The sequence below is a fragment of the Homo sapiens genome, chromosome 1, assembly GCF_000001405.40.
Source record: "Homo sapiens chromosome 1, GRCh38.p14 Primary Assembly".
In the NCBI taxonomy this organism is placed as follows: Eukaryota; Metazoa; Chordata; class Mammalia; order Primates; family Hominidae; genus Homo; species Homo sapiens.
The window spans coordinates 11346274-11365855 of record NC_000001.11 but is presented as its reverse complement, the minus strand read 5'-3'; the positions used below and the strand labels follow the sequence as shown (position 1 = coordinate 11365855).

At 51.0% G+C, this 19582-nt stretch overlaps 1 long non-coding RNA gene across 1 annotated transcript; it reads right to left on the bottom strand.

The window, feature by feature from the left end:
• Nucleotides 1-800: 800 nt before the first annotated feature.
• On the bottom strand, nt 801-7911 carry LOC105376739 (uncharacterized). The gene is made up of 4 exons (XR_946958.3): nt 7756-7911; nt 3131-3274; nt 2017-2073; nt 801-1720 (listed from the first exon to the last, which is right to left on the bottom strand). It is a non-coding gene; the product is annotated as an uncharacterized LOC105376739 (long non-coding RNA).
• Between the last annotated feature and the right edge of the window lie 11671 nt (nt 7912-19582).

Sequence of the window (19582 nt, the reverse complement as noted above, 5' to 3'; positions counted from 1 at the left end):
AAGAAGCAGATGGAGTGAGGAAGGCGTGAGGAAAGAGCAATTCTCCAAAAGAGGGCAAGGGTACATGATCCAATCTGGGTCGTGATTTGTCAGAATAAGGGAGAGAAGCAGGACACAAAACAAATATTGGGAGATCTCCTCTACCCATCTACAATCCTAACTCCGACTACGGTGGCATCTTCCCCACGCATCAAGGTAAACAGAGGATCAGCACTTTCAGAGATCACTATACCAGAGCCAGAGATGAAACCCAGGAGGCTAAGTCCCAGGGGCTTTCCTCCATGTGCATGCACCCCTGGTGTCTCTTCCTTTTCTTATGAGGACAGCCATCTTATTGGATTTGGACCCACTCTCATGAATTCCTTTATTCTTTTTTTTTTTTTTTTTTTTGTGGTAAGGGGGTAGGGCGGGGATGGACAGAGTCTCATTCTGTTGCCCAGGCTGGAATGCAGTGGCACTATCTTGGCTCACTGCAACCTCTGCCACCTGGGTTCAACTGATTCTCCTGCCTCAGCCTCCTGAGTAGCTGGGACTATAGGCACGTGCCACCATGCTCAGCTAATTTTTGTATTTTTAGTAGAAATGGGGTTTAGCCTTGTTGGTCAGGCTGGTCTCGAACTCCTGACTTCAGGTGATCTGCTTACCTCAGCCTCCCAAAGTGCTGGGATAACAGGCGTGAGCTACCGTGCCCAGCCTATTCTTAATCATGGATACAATGTAGTCTATAACCAATGCAAAAATACACTCCCTGTGTCAGGCTGTTCTTGCATTGCTATAAAGAAATACCTGAGACTGGGCAATTTATAAAGAAAAGAAGTTTAATTGGCTCATGGTTCTCTAAGCTGTACAAGAAGCATAGTGCCAGCATTAGCTTCTGGTGAAGGCCTCAGGAAGTTTACAATTGTGACTGAAGTGAAGGGGGAGCAGGCATCTCACATGGCAAGAGTGGGAGCAAGAGACATGGAGGGAGGTGCCACACTCTTTTAAACAAGATCTCGAGAGAGTTCACTCACTGTCTCAAGAACGGCACCAAGAGGATGGTGCTAAACCATTCATGAGAAATCCACCCCATGATCCAAACACCTCCCACCAGGCCCCACCGCCAGCATTGGGGATCACATTTCAACATGAGGTTTTTTTTTTTTTTTAATGGAGTCTCGCTCTGTTGCCCAGGCTGGAGTGCAGTGGCACGATCTCAGCTCACTGCAACCTCTGCTTCCTGGGTTCAAGCGATTCTCCTGCCTCAGCCTCCCAAGTAGCTGGGATTACAGGCATGCACCACCATGCCCAGCTAATTTTTTTAATATTTTTAGTACAGACAGGGTTTCACCATGTTGGGCAGGCTGGTCTCGAACTCCTGGCTTCAGGTGATCCGCCTGCCTCAGCCTCCCAAAGTGCTGGGATTACAGGCTTGAGCCAACGCGCCCAGCCTCAACGTGAGATTTACAGCTATATCACTACCCCTCCTCTAGAGGGAGCTCCTGCCAAGTCACATGGCAGGGAGCGTCTGGGCCAAATTCTACACCAGGGAGTGAGGCAGGAGGGAAACAATTCTGGGGCCAAGGAGCTGCACACGTCCTGACCCCTGCCCAGAGCAAGGACTTAGTCTTCTGCCCCTGACATTTGTGTCCTGAGCTTCTGCCACATGATGGGCTCTGGGCAGGACACTGGGAACCCAGAAATAGAGGAGGTAGGTTTCCTGTTCTCAGGCGGTCTCTAACTGTGGAAGTAGAACGGGGAGTGGAGAAAGATGTCAGTGGGACTGGCACCCATCGGGGGGTCCCCGGCTCCACCCCTCCAGGGCTGCCCTGCCCCTGCGTGGCACATGCTTCCGGTACCCCAGGGCCACCTCCCCAGAGCCCACCGGTGATGTCAGCTGAGGCAGCAGAGAACAGCAACCTCCTGCCTCCATGCGCTGTGGGTCAAGACCCCCTCAAGGCAAATGCAGCCCAGAACGCAGGGGAGTCAACACCCCCAAGAGACCCTCGGCCAATGGGGAAGGGAGCCATCACATACTTCCCGTCCGCTGGGAGCCACTCCGCCCTTCTCAGGAAGTCCCTGTGGAATCAGCACCTGTGGACCACGGCAGTAACCTCAGTATGGCAGCCTTGAATGTCTTCTCCTCCTTCCCTGGCCCTCCTCACCGCCCCCGACCCATACCCTCACCCAAGCCTGCTTCCCAATTTAACTACCTGTGCTCAAGCACTTGTCTCAGGCTCTAATTTGGGAGGGATGGACCCCAGCTAAGAATCCAAGCACGTGCTGGCACCACAGCGATGCCTAAGATGAAATGGTACCTCATTCCTTCTTTTGATAAAACCAAGTGTAGGCCTGGCGCAGTGGCTCATGCCTGTAATCCTAGCACTTTGGGAGGCTGAGGCGGGCGGATCACTTGAGGTCAGGAGTTTGAGACTAGTCTGGCCAACATGGTGAAACCCCGTCTCTACTAAAAATACAAAAATTTGCTGGGCGTGGTGGTGCACGCCTGTAATCCCAGCTACTCAGGAAGCCAAGGTGAGAGAATCTTTTGAACCTGGGAGGCGGAGGTTGCAGTGAGCTGTGATTGCACCACTGGACTCCAGCCTGGGCAACAGAGTGAGACTCCATCTCAAAAAAAAACAAAAAACAAAAAAAAGTGTACGTGCAGGACTCTGGGGCCAGCCCTCCTTGATTCATCCCAGGCCCTCGGTCCCCACTAGCTCTAGTGGATCCCTGGCCAAGGCTACACCTGCCTGGCGCCCAGCACAACCTGACTGAAGCCGCTGGGGAAGGGCGGTGATGCCAAACACACAGAGAAAGTAATTTCCCATTTTCCACTAATTGCTTTCTGCAGCCTGGCCCGTCCCTCCCGCTGCTCCTCCTCCTCCTCCTCCCCTTTTCCTTTCTCCACCTCCCAAGGACAAGGACACAGAGATACAGCCCCCCAGGGCCCAGCTTGTCTCTCTCAAAACGAGTTTTTGAAATGTAATTCCGGAGGTGACAGTTGGACTGTGGCTGACACGGCCCCCAGGGGAGGGATGCTCTGTGCAGCTACCGGGAACCTTGGGACTCGGCCCGTCCTGAGAGGCTCCCAGGCTGGGAAATGAGCCCTCGCACCCTCCGCTCACTCTTTCATTCATTCACCTCTCACCTCATTCACTTCTTCACTCAGATTGTCCTTTCACAGCCTCCGTCAGTCACCGTGGCAGAGATGTGTGTCCAGCGACCAAAGCCACCCCTCCTCCACGTTTTCCAGCACCCGCCTCAGGGCCATGTGACTTGTCTGGCCAAAAGGCTGCAAGTGAAAATAACAGGAGAAGACTGGGTGCGGTAGCTCACGCCTGTAATCCCAGCACTTTGGGAGGCTGAGGTGGGCAGATCGCCTGAGGTCAGGAGTTCAAGACCAGCCTGGCCAACATGGAGAAACCCTGTCTCTACTAAAAACACACACAAAAAAAACCTAGTTGGGCATGGTGGTGCATGCCTGCCATCCGAGCTACTCAGGGGGCTGTGGCAGGATAATCGCTTGAACCGGGGAGGTGGAGGTTGCAGTGAGCGAGATTGCGCCACTGCACTCCAGCCTGGGTGACAGAGTGAGACTCTGTCTCAAAAAAAAAAAAAAAAGTAACAGGAGTCACTTTCACTTCCAGCTGAAACACAAGGAAGCCAGTGTGTGGTCTTCCCTTCTCTCATCCCTGCTGCAGTGACCCTGGGAGTCTCATTTCCAGGTGCTGCAGCCACAGGATGATGGAGCCCCCAAGGGTCTGGGTCTTTGGCCTTTATGCTGGACAAAACAGCCCCATCCCCTCTAAACCACACTGAACATATAATGTGAGAGACAGGCCTTCGTGGGGTGAAGGCTAAAGTCTGGCAGCGGATTTATTAAGCAGCATAGCCCATAGTCATCCACTTCTTCACTCCCTCAAGCGTTCCCTGCCTCTCTCCTTCCCTTTCTTCCCTCCCCCTGCACACACTAGAGAGTGGGTCCCTGCTGGGTCTACGGAAGCCAAGAATCCTTCCTCTAGCAGAGCTGGTTGGCCACACTGGGCTGATCGATCGATGCTAATAGTGTCTGTAATAGCCACAATATACACAGAGACTGAGGGCAGTAGCTGAACGCACAAGATCAGGCTTCCTGTGGCTTGAAAAACTAACTAAAGAAATGCTTACTGGCCTGGCGCGGTGGCTTATGCCTGTAATCCCAGCACTTTGGGAGGCCGAGGCGGGCAGATCACCTGAGGTCAGGAGTTCCAGACCAGCCTGGTCAACATGGTGAAACCCTATCTCTACTAAAAATACAAAAATTAGCTGGGCCTGATGGTGCATGCCTGTAATTCCAGCTACTGGGGAGGCTGAAGCAGGAGAATCACTTGAACCCAGGAGGCCGAGATTGTAGTGAGCCGAGATCACGCCATTGCACTCCAGCCTGGGTGACAAGAGCAAAATTCCATCTCGAAAATAAATAAATAAATGCTTGCTGATCCAGTGGGTGTCCCCAAGTCACACCTTCCCACAATGGCACTGGTGGCCAACGAAAACCCAAGACAGGGCATTGCAGATGAGCTGACATCGTGAGAAGAAGGGTGGGGTAAGGAGGTACCTACAAAGTATCCCGCTTCAAAGAGCTGCCAAATGCCCCACCCCAGGCTCACAGATGAGGAAGCCTTGACCCAGAAAGGTTCTCAGGCTTACCCAAGCTTCCATGCTTAGGACCGAGGGCCCCAGATTCCCACTACAACCCCCTGGCTCCCGGGGCCAAGAGGACATTTTAGAGAAGTGTGAGTGCCCAGGCAGATTTTCTGGAAACCCCGACTAGATCCCTGTGTCTCAACCGAAGGCACCCTTCATTAAGCCCCTCCTATGTGCAGAGCCTGAATAAGCTGCTCTAGTAAAAATAGAAGAAATAGAAGCCCCAGGCCCCGCACAGGGCACTAACCAGCCACAGAAGGGAACTGATGAGAAGTGCTCCCAAGAAAGGGGCAAAAGTAAAATAGCCTGGCATTGTCCTGCAGGCACAAAGGGTCAAATCCAGCACAAAGTACGAGGTCTGTGCTTTGTGGTGGCAGCTTCCTTTCCTTCTCTCTTCCCAGTGTTGTCCCTTCCTGCTGAAGCCCAGGGAGGTTGCCCTCAGTTCACCTTTAGCTCCTACTGTCAGAGGCGTTTGAACCAGAGCAACTCCATCTTGAATAGGAGGTGAGTGAAATAAGGCTGACACCTACTGGGCTGCATTCCCAGATGGTTAAGGCATTCTAAGTCACAGGGTGAGATCAAAGGTCGGCACAAGACACAGGTCATAAAGACCTTGCTGATAAAACAGCTTGCAGTAAAGAAGCCTGTCAGTCAAAACCCACCAAAACCAAGATGGCAACGTGAGTGGCCTCTGGTCATCCTCACTGCTCCACTCCCAACAGCGCCATGACAGTTTGCAAATGCCATGGCAACGTCAGAAAGTTACACTATATGGTCTAAAAGGGAGGCATGAATAATCCACCCCTTTGCTTAGCATGTAATCAAGAAATAGTCATAAAAATGGGCAACCAGCAGCCCTCGGGGCTGCTCTGCCTATAGAATAGCCATTATTTTATTCCTTTACTTTCTTAATAAACCTGCTTTTACTTTATGGACTTGCCCTCAACTCTTTCTTGCATGAGATCCAAGAACTCTCTCTTGGGGTCTGGATTGGGACCCCTTTCCAGTAACACCCTCACATCCTTTATGCTGCACAGGGCTCCGGGCTCTCCCAGGCCATCCCCTGCTTCACCTCCATGTGCCTTCGGGAGAGTTTCCATGACACCCACACCAGGGAGCACCAGCTGAGAAAGCCATGGGCACATTACAGCACCTGTGCCAGGGGCCACCTTACATTGAAACCCCTCCTCTGTCACCCCAGCCCCTTTCGCTCAGCTGGCTCCTTCTCAAGCTTCAACATCCAGCTGAGGAGTCACCTCCTCCAGGAAGCCTTCCCTGTCCTCCCCTCTCCTCGAGGTTGGCCCTCAGCAAGTTTAGGCAGCCCTCGCCAGCGCCCCAGCACCCTGTAAATGGTGCTTCACTCCAAGCCTTGTTGGGTTTGTTCGACTATTTGTGAGTCTTCTTTCCCCAGCTGAGGGTGAGTTTTGTGACCACGAGCAGGAGCTGGGTTTTGTTCATTTTCAGGTCCTCCATGCCTAGCACGAGGCTTGGCATTCTGGAGGGCTCCATAAATTTGTTGGACATAGGCACAGAGGCATGACTATAGGAATAAACTCTAGACAAAGGAAGACTGTGAAACCCCAGGTATCAGGAACTGAGTGGGGAGTGGGGAGCATGTGTGTGGGGGCGGCGGTGGGTGTTGTTGCTGTTGCTGGGGGCCCATGTCATTCAATCCCTTCAACCATACCGCACAGGTATCCCCTCCCTCCCATCTGTTGCAATTTCATGGCAATCCTGGTATTCTGCTCTATTGCCAAAGTACGCACCAGACCAAGTGTTCGGGTTTGGGGTTCATAAACTCCAGTCCTCATGCTGGTAGGCAATTGAGCCTGCTCATGGCAGTGAACCAAAGCACTCAAAGCATTTCGGAGGGCAGGCCACAACGCAGGAGGTGGAGAGAGGAGGGCAGTCTTTTGGGGACCCCTGCCCCTCTTCATCAATCTTGAACTGAGAAGACGTTAAGAGACATCTGGTGCCTGCAGCACGCCCACTGAAGCTGGGCCAGGCCACATGGTACTGCAGTCTGTGAGCAGGAAAATTAGCTGCTGCCATCATTGACCATCCAGCTCATTATCCAAAGGGCTGCTTGGAACAGATGGAGGAGGGAGGCCAAGGAAGGAAGGTGAGCTCGGCCACACATTTCCCAGCTCAGAGGAAACTCCCATCCCTCACGTTTGGAGGATCAGCTCTGCAGCCCCTGACCCATCTGCAAGGAGAATCAGCCATCCCCACCCCTGCCACAGGCTCTGTTCAAACCTCTCTCACCATCCTTGCATATTTGATTATGTGTCTGTGTGTCTGTCTCTTTTACTAGTTTGCAAGCCTCTTCTTGCGAGGACTGTGCCTTCATCACCTGTGTACCAAGTACTTGGCAATCAAAGTTTGATGGTTAAATTAATTGATGGATGGATGGATGGAATGAGGTCTGCCCAGGAGATGCACCATGATAATATTTTTTTTTTTTTGAGACGGAGTCTCACTCTATCACCCAGGCTGGAATGCAATGGCGTGATCTCGGCTCACCACAACCTCCACCTCCCGGGTTCAAACGATCCTCCCAACTCAGCCTCCCGAGTAGATGGAACTACAGGTGCACGTCACAACGCCAGGCTAATTTTTGTATTTTTTGTAGAGATGGGATTTCACCATGTTGGCCAGGCTGGTCTCAAACTCCCGACCTCAAGTGATCTGCCTGCCTCGGCCTCCCAAAGTGCTGGGACTACAAGCATGAGCCACTGTGCCCGGCTGTATAGTTACCATTTTTGAGCTCTTATTATGTGCAAAGTGCCATGAAAAATGATGTACATTTTTTCATTTATTAATAACTCTTCCAGCAGCCCTCCCAGTAATCGTAACCAAGTTTATGATAAGAAGACAAGAAGACTGAAGTTGAGACTGTGTGCTCGATGTCACATGGCCGGGAAGTCTCTAGGCAGAAACTCAAAGCTAAGCAGAGTGAGTGCCTCTGGATTCCAAACTCTTAACCCCTCTGGCTTACAGCCTTCCAGTGGACATACTGGAAGGACATACTGCCTTTTCCCTGAGCCTCGATTTATCTATCCATAACATGGGGATGGTGGTACCCACCTTGCAGAGTACACACGTAAGGGTGCAGCAGGAACACGGTAGCTTCCAGGTTCCCAGGGACTGTGTGTCTTTCTGGGTTCTCTAGTTCACGCTCACAGAGCCCCCATCCTGGTTGCCCCCCTCCCACAGGGGCTCCTCCGCTCCGCCTGCATGCGCCCTGCTTTCCGCAGCGATGCAAATTATAACAGGTTTATTTTGTTTTCTTTTGCTGCTAGGTGCCACCCTGCACCCTCCCTGCCAGCTCCCAGGGACATAGCTTCCTTGTGTTTGCAGGTGATCAGTCAAACTACAATTTTGAGTCCTGCTCACTGGTCACCAAGCTTGCCGGGGACAGCTGGGGATCCCTTTTCAGCACCCCTTCCCTGGCTGCCTTTTCTCTCCTCTCCTGCCTGTCTCCCTTGAACTCAACAGGTCATAAATATGTAATGTATCAATCCCATTTCTCTACAAGCGGCAGGAGATCTCGCCGGCCACAGAGAAGGCCTGACAGCTCCACGAATCCCCTGAGCACCCACAGTGGCCGAGGTGCTGTCAGAATCTGTGAGAGCTCTAGGCTCAAGGCAGAAACCAAGGCCACTAGAACCGGAGCCCAAACCCCGCATTTCTATTTGCAGGGATAGGGGGTGGAGGCCTCCAGATTCTCCAGACAGCGAAAGGCTCAGGAGGCGGTTTCCTGGAAACGTGGCTGAATGGGGAGCAAGTAAACATTCTTAGCAGGCCTAGTCTGTTCTATCGAGCAAACTTCTTGAAAGAGGAAGAATTCAAACTGACGTTGAAATGAGGCGGGGGGCCTGGCGCGGTGGCTCATGCTTGTAATCCCAGCACTTAGGGAGGCTGAGGTGGGTGGTTCACTTGAGGTCAGGAGTTTGAGACCAGCCTGGCTAACATGGTGAAACCCCATCTCTACTAAAAATACAAAAATTAGCTGAGTGTGGTGGTACGTGCCTGTAATCCCAGCTACTCGGGAGGCTGAGGCAGGAGAATCACTTGAACCTGAGAGATGGAGGTTGCAGTGAGCTGAGATTGCACCACTGCACTCTAGCACTCCATCCTGGGCAACAGAGTAAGACTCTGTCTCAAAAAAAGAAAGAAAGAAAGAAAGAAATGAGGGTGGCGACAGTGAGGAAGTCTGGTTGGGAGCAGAGCAAAGAAAATGAAGTATTTTATTAGAAGCGAGAGAAGGAGGTGGTGAGGAAAGGAAGAGAGAACCCAGCGGTGTCTAGCCAGCTGAAGGAAAGACATGAGAAGCCACTGGGCGCAGTGGCTCATGCCTGTAATCCCAGCACTTTGGGAGACCGAGGCGGGGAGTCGGGGGGATCACTTGAGGTCAGGAGTTCAAGACCAGCCTGGACAACATGGTGAAGCCCCATCTCTACTAAAAATACAAAAATTAGCTGGGTGTGGTGGTGCATGCCTGTAATCCCAGCTACTCGGGAGGCTGAGGCAGGAGAATCACTTGAACCTGGGAGGCGGAGGTTGCGGTGAGCCGAGATCACGCCACTGCACTCCAGCCTGGTGAGCAACAAAGCGAGACTCCATCTCCAAAAAAAAAAAAGAAAAGAAAAAAAAAGAAAGAAAGAAAGAAATGAATGAGAAGGCTACAGAGGGGGGTTGGCAGGGAACACCGGCAGGGGTTTCCTGGCTGCTGGCGGCACACATCAGAAATCAAAGGCAAGGGTACCAGGGACCACAAGGGCAGGAGTGAGGGGGAGGGGCCTCAGAGGCCACCACAGTTGACTGAGGGGCCAGCCCCAACCCAGAGAATGGCTTCCCTCTCCAGAAAGAAACAGCCAAGACCTGGGAACAAATGGCCTTGCTAATTGGCCATTTTGTTTTTTATGTATTTTCATTAGCAAGATAAAACAACAACTAGTCATGTAACCGTCTCCTCGTTTGGGAAGTAAATGCTCGTTAACCACCTGAGTGTTCTCCGTTGCTGAATGAGCCACAGCTCCTCTGCAGGGGAACAGCCAGGCAGGGAGGGAGAAGGTCCCCGCTCCAGAACTCGTTGCCCAGGCCCGCTCCACTGAGCCCAGGACTTCCAGCAGGGGGTGGCTGAGAGGAGTTGCACTCAACACCCCAAACATCCCAAGAAGTGTCACTTCTTAAAGAGCCAGGATGCTCTTCCTCCGCCAGAGAGAGGGTCTTGGTCATTTGTCTCCTCGCCAGCAGACACCCTCGTTCCCAGGTCTCCTCCCGACCATCATCCTGTGACAGCTGCTCTGGAAAGGGGGCAGCGGGAGGGAAGCTGGGTCTCCATGGTGACCCCATCCTCTCACCCTCCCATCGCAAAGAGGGGGAGGGGCCGAGGAGGTTTGGTTGGCGGGGAAGTGGGGCAAGGGAGCCCGGTTACCCAGGCAACTCCCTTGAGGCCCTAGCCGAGGGCTCCACTCCCACAGATGGGGGCTGGGGTTGTCATGGAGACTCCCTGGCAGCACTGCCAAGGAGTAGGCCAGGTTCCCCTCCCAGCCCGGGGGGCACGGGGCCCAGAAGGAATCAGGTGGATGAAAGAGGGGGCAGAGTGGCAGGAAGAAAGTTCTAGAAGATAGTGTGCTCTCCCCTTTGATCTCCCACACCTCCACATCATCCCACTCTTGCTCTCGACCTGCCTCGAGAAATCTGCCGGCGCCTGGCTCTCACCCTGTGGCATGCAGTCCTGTCTCTCCACCTCTTGGCCCTTCTTTCCTAGTGATGCTGATCATTTTGGGCAGACAGCCTATCCCAGGGTCACCATGACGACCAAACAAGCCTTTGGTCTCCATGGTGATGAGCCCTCCACATTATTTTTATTTATTAATTGGGAATTTCAAAGGATTTTCCACTCCATTTCCCAGACCTGGCATCTGGGAGACTGGGGTAGGACCATCATTCTCCCCTTAGCCCAGAGAAGGGGACTAAGGTTGAGAATGTTGGATGACAGCTAAAATGTGCCTGAAAGACAGCCAATAAATACCTCCTTGAAGCTACAGAGAAAGAGGCCTTTCTCAGCTTTTCCCCAGCCTGCCAGATGCCTGGGGAGGCTCTTCGGAGCCACTTAGCAGTCACCGTCCTCAGGGAGGTTCTAAGTACAGCTTCAGGGGATGGATGGATGGATTCAGGCATATCCTGCTTCACTCTGAAGAATAACTGATGGAACTTACAGAAATAGGCAGAGCCCAACAGAATAAAAACAGATGGATGAGGAACTTGGAGCAAAGGAAAAATAAGATAATGTCAGGCTAAAGGGACAATACAAACTTACACACTATAAGGTACTAACAGTAAATGAGAGGTGCCACAAATTAACTCTGAGCTTCCTGATGGCCATAGCAAAGAAGGAAACAAGATTTATAGAGACCAAAAGAGCAAACAAACAGAAAAGATGTTTCAGGAGACATGAGGGATAAATAATGTGAGGTTACATTCCCAGGACACCTGAAGTCCTCCCCACTGTTATCTGACCCCATACCTTCCATTTGTTTTGCTTATTGACTCTGCCTTGTTAGTTTTCTGTTTCCCCAATAAAGCCTATTCCTTACCCCATGCCATATGACACTGTGTAATTTATTGCAAACCTAGTACATGATGGAAGCCCAATGGGACCCACCTGCCAAACTAAACAGAGACCTGGAAGGAACCCATCTTTCATGGCAACTTATCACTATCTAAAATCATATCCACTGTGTCAAGCTGGGCGTGGTGGCTCAAGCCTGTAATCCCAGCACTTTGGGAGGCCGAGGCAGGCGGATCACCTGAGGTAAGGAGTTTGAGACCAGCCTGGCCAACATGGTGAAGCCCTATCTCTACTAAAAATACAAAAATTAGCTGTGCGTGGTGGCAGACGTCTGTAATCCCAGCTACTCAGGAGGCTGAGGCAGCAGATTCACTTGAACCCGGGAGGTGGAGACTGCCTCATTTGCACTCCAGCCTAGGTGACACAGCAAGACTCCATCTCAAAAGTAAAATAAAATAAAATAAATAAATGAAATCATATCCACTGGGATATTTTTGGTTGCAAATAACAGCAGACCAGACTCAAAATGGCTTTGCCAAATAGGGGATTTCTCATTTCACAGAACAAGGCATTCTGAGGTGTGGGGCTCCAGGCTGGCAATCTGAGCCTCCCGGGCATCGTGTGGAGCACAGGTGCCTTCACCACACCATCCTTGGTGTGTCAGCTTCCTCAGTGCACTGGCCAAGGTTCCTGCCATTGCATGTGGCTGTGTGTCCAGTGGGGGAAGTGGATTCATCCTCTGCCTATTGTTTTAAGAAAACCATTCCCAAGCCAGTGTGGTGGCTCACACCTGTAATCCCAGCATTTTGGGAGTCTGAGGTGAGCAGATCGCTTGAGGTAGGGAGTTCAAGACCAGCCCAGCCAACATGGTGAAACCCTGTCTCTACTAAAAATACAAAACATTAGCCGGGCATGGTAGCACGTGCCTGTAACTCCAGCTACTCAGGAGCCTGAGGCATGAAAATTGCTTGAACCCGGGAGGCAGAGGTTGCAGTGAGCTGAGATCGTGTTACCGCTCTCTGGGCGACAGAACCAGACTCTGCCTTAAGGAAAAAAGAAAAGAAAAAGAAAACGATTCCCAGAAGCCGCCCCACAGATATCCCATCCTGTGTCCTTGGCCACATCTGAGTCACCTGTTCCCAGCTAATGCAATTCAGGGCAAATCGAGTGGGACCAGTCAGACCAACAGTACTCGTGCTGAGTCCTGTGGAGAGGAGAAAGAGCTGAGAACAAAACAGAGGCTCTGCCCACTGAGGAAGGAAGGGGTGGGTTTCAGATAAGTGTTGTAAGTGAGGCTCCCCAGAAGCAAACCCTGCTATGAGGATCTGTGTGCTGATGATTCAAGAAGGTGCTCCCAGAGGAGACTGATACGGGGGCAGGACAGAGAAGGGAGGAAGCTAACCAGGGGGGCAATTTCGAGCAAAGCCTCAGCCTTAGCCTGGCCCTATGGGAGGCCCTGAAGTAGAAATGACATCTTAAGGGATGTCCCAATTCAAGGCGAGGGAGCAGGACTTCCATTCTCCAACACTCATCAGTCCTGAGCTAAGGGCTGCCTCTGGGGAAACATGAACTCTCAGCACACTTCCTGTTCTCTGTATGCATTGGGCACACCAGCTCTCATAGCCCGGGGCAGTCCTCTAAAGAGAGTCACAGGTGCAGGCTGGCTCTCAGAAACAAATCACACAAGGCCGAGCGCGGTGGCTGACGCCTGTAATCCCAGAACTTTGGGAGGCCGAGGCAGGTGGGTCACCTGAGATCAGGAGTTTGGGACCAGCCTGGCCAACATGGTGAAACCCCGTCTCTACCAAAAATACAAAAATTAGCTGGGTGTGGTGGTGCACGCCTATAATCCCGGCTACTCAGGAGGCTGAGGCAGGAGAATCACTTGAACCCGGAAGGCAGAGGTTGCAGTGGGCCCAGATCGCGCCATTGCACTCCAGCCTGAGCAACAGAGCGAGACTCCATCTCAAAAAAGAAAAAAGCACACAGAAACTGAGGGACAAACTCACAGAAATGAGCAAAGGGATCCCGGGGCATTTGGTCAACCAACAGTGTCAACCACAAAAATGACCTGTTCTCCCACTGCCATGCAAGCACCGTGAGAATAGAAGCTGGTCTGTCCTGTTCATCTGCTGTGTCCTCAACCCCAGCGCAATGCCTGCGAGTGCCAGCACTCAATCAATATGTGTTGGATGAATGAATGAATGCCATGGGGGCTGCGGCTCAGGGGGAGCTGGGGGTGGGACTTGGGACCTCACCCACAGATGAGGCCTCTAGGTGAGCTCCACACTCACCATGCTCAGGCCACCCTCCAGCCCAAAGCCCCTCCTACCAGAAGGGGGCACTGCCCCCAGTCCACACTTGAGTTCTCCAGGGAAATTGCTATTTTCATAAAGCTGGAGCTGCCCCTTGGGGAGCCCCCAGCCAGCCAGGCCTACCAGGCTGAACCCTGATTCAGAAGCATAGTTGGCGGGGGCCAACCTCAGGAACTGAATGTCCCTGCGAGAAGCAACTTAGCGTTGTTATTCTAAAAACAAGTGTAAATGAATTCATAGCAAACCATGCCAATGACTCACCTTCCAAAGGCTTCGACAGACATTTCACGCATTTCTCACAACCACCCAATGAGTGGGTGCTACGGTCTCACCTTCATCACCCCCACGTGAAGGAGGAAGAAACTGAGGCTCGAAGACATGAGTTCACTTGCCCATGACCAAAAAGTTCCAAGATCAGGTCCCTTGAGGCCAGATCCCACATCGCCCTTCCTCCTGGGAGTTCCAGGAAGGCCTCTTTCCTGGAGCGGAGCCCCCTGGATCATCCTTTTCTGTGCATCTGTCTTTTCCATCTGCCCCTTGCACTAGACCATCAAGAAAAAAGACTAGGTCCCTTTCATTGTTACTTTCCAAGGCCTGACACATCCCCTGTGAAATAAGCATCGGGGCGTTCACAGATGTTCCTTTTTCTCCTCCTCCAGGGCATAAGGTCAGGTGGCACTTTCCTGCCCATTTGAAGTTAGGTGTGGCCATGAGACTTGCTTTCGCTCATGAAATGGAAACAGAAGCAACATGTGTCCTTTCTGAGTGTATGTTTTAAGAGGATATGCTTGTGGCAGCAACCATCAAGATAGTGGCTGCTCCACCAGCCGCTTCCCAGAGTGAGAACGACATAGACCTGTGTGATGAGTTGCCTGAGAAATATACCTTGTGCTCTTACACCTCTGAAATTAGGGGGACGCTTGTTACTGCAGCGTAAGGTGCCATATCCTGACTGATATGCACATATTAGTAGATAACAAATGTTTATAGAGGCCAGGCATGGTGGCCCACGCCTGTAATCCCAGCACTTTGGGAGGCCAAGGCGGGCAGACCACATGAGGCCTGGAGTTCAAGACGAGACTGGCCAATATGATGAAATCTCATCTTTACTAAAAATACACAAAATTAGTGGAGCATGGTGGTGCCTGTAATCCCAGCTACTGGGGAGCCTGTAATCCCAACTACTTGGGAGGCTGAGGCACAAGAATCACTTGAACCCAGGAGGCGGAGGTTGCAATGAGCTGAGATCGCCCCACTGCACTCCAAACTGGGTGACAGCGTGAGATTCTGTCTTAGGGGAAAGAAATGTTTATAGAAAGAAAGAAAGAAAGGAGAGGGAGGGAGGAAGGGAGGGGTTACCTGATGTGAACAAGGATCTGTGGTTTCCTCTGAGTATGCCAGTGGGAGGGATAGATACTCCAGGACCCCAGCAGTATTTTCCAGAAGCACGTTAGGTAAGTGAGTTCCTGCAGCTCAGACTCCTACCCCTACCCTCTTGCCCATGCTATCGGATTCTGAGGTCCAGAAGTTACCGAGGGGAACTTGGATCTCCCAGGCCCAGGATTACCTCCCCACCTACCAACAGGGCAGCCCGAAGCCAGGGAGTCGAGAGGCTATTTCCCCCTCCAATTGAAGACTTTTTTCAGCCAAATGAATAATTCATTGTAAATGACTTTGAGATGAGTCGAGTCTCCATGTTGCCACCCGATTATATGTGCCATAAAAAGCAATGACAGTAATTTATCTCCTCTCTCGCGCGGGGTGGGCCGAGGCGATGGGAAGGAAGTGCTCGGTGCCTGGCATGGGGTTATGAATCATTCCTCTTAGCAGTTAAGCGGCAAGCTGCTGACGCTTTTACTGATTTGCAATTAAATAATTCCAGCCTTGGTCTGGAAGCAGAGAGGGGGTCCGGCTTTCCTTCCGGAGGGAGAGCCGAGGGGAGTGAGAGAAGCAGGATGAGGGGCTATCAGTGAGGCAGGAGGAGGGCTGGGATGCAGGGAGGAAGTGGTGTGCGGTTTGGCCTCATTAGTTCGCCCTGAAGTTGTCCTTTCTCCCAGGGACCGATCCTGTGCCCTGAGCTGCAAGTGACAATGTCACATCTGGGCAATGTCAGCTGCATGGGCTGCTGAGGGAGACTTGCAGCAGGGACCAGCTGCCCTGAAGATGCTCCCAGCCCTTCCAACTCACGGGCAGGAACTGAGGCAGGAGCTCCTTCCCTGCCTTCAGATGAACCCAGGTGTCTGCACTGGAGGAATCCCAGGACCACAGCCACAGTTGCTTTCCTCTATCATAAATATCTACAGAAGTAAAATCAGCTCCCAGTTTGCAGATGGACAAACTGAGGCCCATCATGAGGCAAGAAATCAAGGGTACAAAGAGAAAGAGTTCAACACAAATCCTCCAAAACCCCAGACCAGAACTTTCTCCCCAAACACATACTGCCTTTTTTTTCTGTTTTTTTTTTTTTTTCCTTCTTTTTATTTTGGAGACAGTCTTGTTCTGCTGCCCAAGCTGGAGTGCAGTGGCACAATCTCAGCTCGCTGCAACCTCCACCTACCGGGTTCAAGCAATTCTCCTGCCTCAGCCTCCCAAGTAGCTGGGATTACAGGCGTGAGCCACCTTGCCTAGCTAATTTTGTATTTTTAGTAGAGATGGGGTTTCACCATATTGCCCAGGCTGGTCTCAAACTCCTGGCCTCAGGTGATCCACCCGCCTCAGCCTCTCAAATTGCTGGGATTACAGACGTGAGCCACCGCATCCAGCCACATATTGCCTTTTCTATTATAGACAAAGATGGAAGTAACCTCAGAGAACTCAAGCTGTCCATACAAGGCACTATCTTTGACTACATATATATCTTTGTTTTACACTTTAGGGGTGCGGTGAGGATAAAGTCTAAACTTTATTTACTCCCCAAGCTCTGCATTCATGCCTTACCCTGGTCAGTGACGGCACAAACTTTTATACATTTCCAGGGCTTACCCTCGACCCACTCTTGTTTGAGTCAGATCCTCCAGTCTGAGTGTTTTAAAAGCACCCCAGCAGCAGCTTTATTTGTAACAGTCAAAACTGAAAATGACCCAGTTATCCTTCAATGAGTTAAACTGTGTTGCACCCATACCGTAGAATACTACCCAACAATACAAAGGAACAAACTATTGATACACATTCCAATTAGGATGAATTTTAAGGGAACGATGCTGAGTGAGTGAAAAAAAAAAGCCAATCTTGAAAGGTTACATGCTGTATGACTCCGTTTATAGAACATTCTCAAAATGACAAAATTATAGAGAGAACAGATGAATGGTTGCCAAGGGTCAGGGATGGGGTTGGGGTAGAGAGGGGGAGGGGGAGTAGGTGGATATGGTTATAAAAGGGCAACATAAGAGGCCCTCATGCCAGTGGGTCTTCTCTGTATCTTGATACACAAACCTACACATGTAATCAAAATGCATAAACACACAAATTAGCATGATAGGAAACTGCTGATATCTGAATAAGATCAGTGGATTTTAGATACATAGATACATAGAGATAGATAGATAGCTAGACAGATACATACATACATACATACATACATACATACATAGAGAGTCTCACTCTGGCGTCCAAGCTGGAATGCAGTGATATGATCTCAGCTCACTGCAGAATTGACCTCCCAGGCTCAAGTGATCCTCCCACTTTAGCCTCCCTAGTAGCTGGGACTACAGCCACCACATCTGGCTAATTTTTATTATTTTTGTAGAGACGGGGCTTCACCATGTTGCCCAGTCTGGTCCAGAACTCCTGGCCTACAAGCAATCTGTCCGCCTTGGCCTCCCAAAGTGCTGGGACTACAGGCATGAGCCACTGCGCCCAGCATAGTGCATTATATTAACGTCTGCTTACTGGCATAATATTATACTACAGTTTTGCACACTGTTAACATTGGGAAAAGCTGGGTAAAGGGTACATGGGATCTGTCTGTATTATTTTCTACAATTGTATGTGTATCTATAATTATCTCAAAATAAAGTTTAATTCAAAACCATTTTTCAAAAAGCTCCCCTAGTGATTCAACCAGGGATAAGAACATTCGTCACACTTAGTTTTTGTATTTTACCCAACTTGTACTTCATACAAATAATTCAATGTCCCAATCAATGTATAGTCCACACACTTCCCCCTTTCAGCAGTCACAGAGAAAATGTGCACTGCTTGAGGATATAGATGTCCTTGCCCTGGTCCAGTGCTGGCCAGACAATAGGCAAGGCCTTAATTGGAAAACAGTGGGCCGGGAGCAGTGGCTCACACCTGTAATCCCTGCAATTTAGGAGGCCGAGGCAGGTGGATCACTTGAGGTCAAGAGTTTGAGACCAACCTGGCCAACATGGTGAAAACCCATCTCTACTAAAAATACAAAAATTAGCTGGGCATGGTGACACACATCTGTAGTCCCAGCTACTCGGGAAGCTGAAGCACAAGAATTGCTTGAACCTGGGACGTAGAGGTTGCAGGGAGCCAACATTGCGCCACTGCACTCCAGCCTGGGTGACAGAGTGAGAGTTGTCTGAGAAAGAAAGAAAGAGAGAAAGAGAGGAAGGAAGGAAGGGAGGGAGGGAGGGAGGGGGGGAGGGAGGGAGAGGCAGGGAGGGAAGGAAGGAAAGAAGGAAGGAAGGAAGGAGAAAGAGAGAGAAAGGGAGGGAGGGAAGGAAGGAAGGAAGGATAGAAGGAAGGAAGGAAAGAAGGAAGGAAGGAGAAAGGGAGAGAAAGGGAGGGAGAGAAGGAGGGAGAGAGAGAAGGAGGGAGGGAGGAAGGAAGAAAACAGTGGAAAGGGGAAAACTGGACAGGCTCAGGCTCTCCTACTTATCAAGCTCTGCAACTTTGGACAAATTATTAACTGCACTAACCGTCTCTGCAAAGTGGTATTTTAATTGCACCTGCTTTAAAGGTGGTTGTACAGACTGGAGACGATGGAGGTGAGAAGACTGAGAAATGGAAGTTGCTCAGAGGAAGAAGCTATTGTCAAATGTCTGGGGGGTGGTGAGGAATTGGGCACATAGGTCTTCACCTTCAATCCCAGGCTTCCACTCTGCATGGGCACACCTGCTCATCTGCCATGAATTCACCTCCCCTGAACCCCAAACATTTACCCTGAAGACTTGGAAGCAGTTTGTGTAGTGCAGGATTTGGGGGACAAGGCTGATTGGAGGCTTTCTCTGTCCCTTTAAGACATGCTCTGCGTCTAAAGGGGTAACACTCGGCTGGGCGTGGTTTGGGATGCCGAGGCAGGCAGATCACGAGGTCAGGAGTTCGAGACCAGCCTGGCCAACACGGTGAAACCCCATCTCTACTAAAAATATAAAAAATTAGCCAGGTGTGTTGGTGCGTGCCTGTAATCCCAGCTACTCAGGAGGCTGAGGCAGGAGAATCACTTGAACCCAGGAGGCGGAGGTTGCAGTGAGCCAAGATCGCACCACTGTACTCCAGCCTGGGCAACAGAGTGAGACTCTGTCTCTAAATAAATAAATAAATAAAGGGGTGACACACGGGAGAACTTCATAAAACCATTTTCCTCTCCTGAATCAGACACTGGCCGACTCCAAGTCAACAGTGGTGAGGTTCAAATTGAATTGAACAAAGAAATGTCTGCTGTTTTCCCAGCTCATCAGTAATCTAACACAAGGTTTTTCTCTGTGCCCATCTGCACAGAGTCTACACTGCAGAGTCTACAGTATAAGCAACCCCCGGCCCAGCCCTGCGTGTTCTGGCCCCTCCCTGGGTGGGAAAGTGAGTACACGCAATGTGTGCATACAGTGTGCACACACATACACATTCCTGCGCCACGCAGGCCTCCTTCCTATGAAGGATGTGAATTCTGCTGGAGAAAGTAGTTTTTGAACGTCAAGGCCACTCCCTGCTCGGATGCCAGTTCCCTGCATAGCCCATCCCCTCACCTGGGCCAGGCAGAGGGACGCGGGAGATGCAGCTGGGACACAGGCAGTTCCATTATTTATGAAGCTTTCGTTATTTCACATAT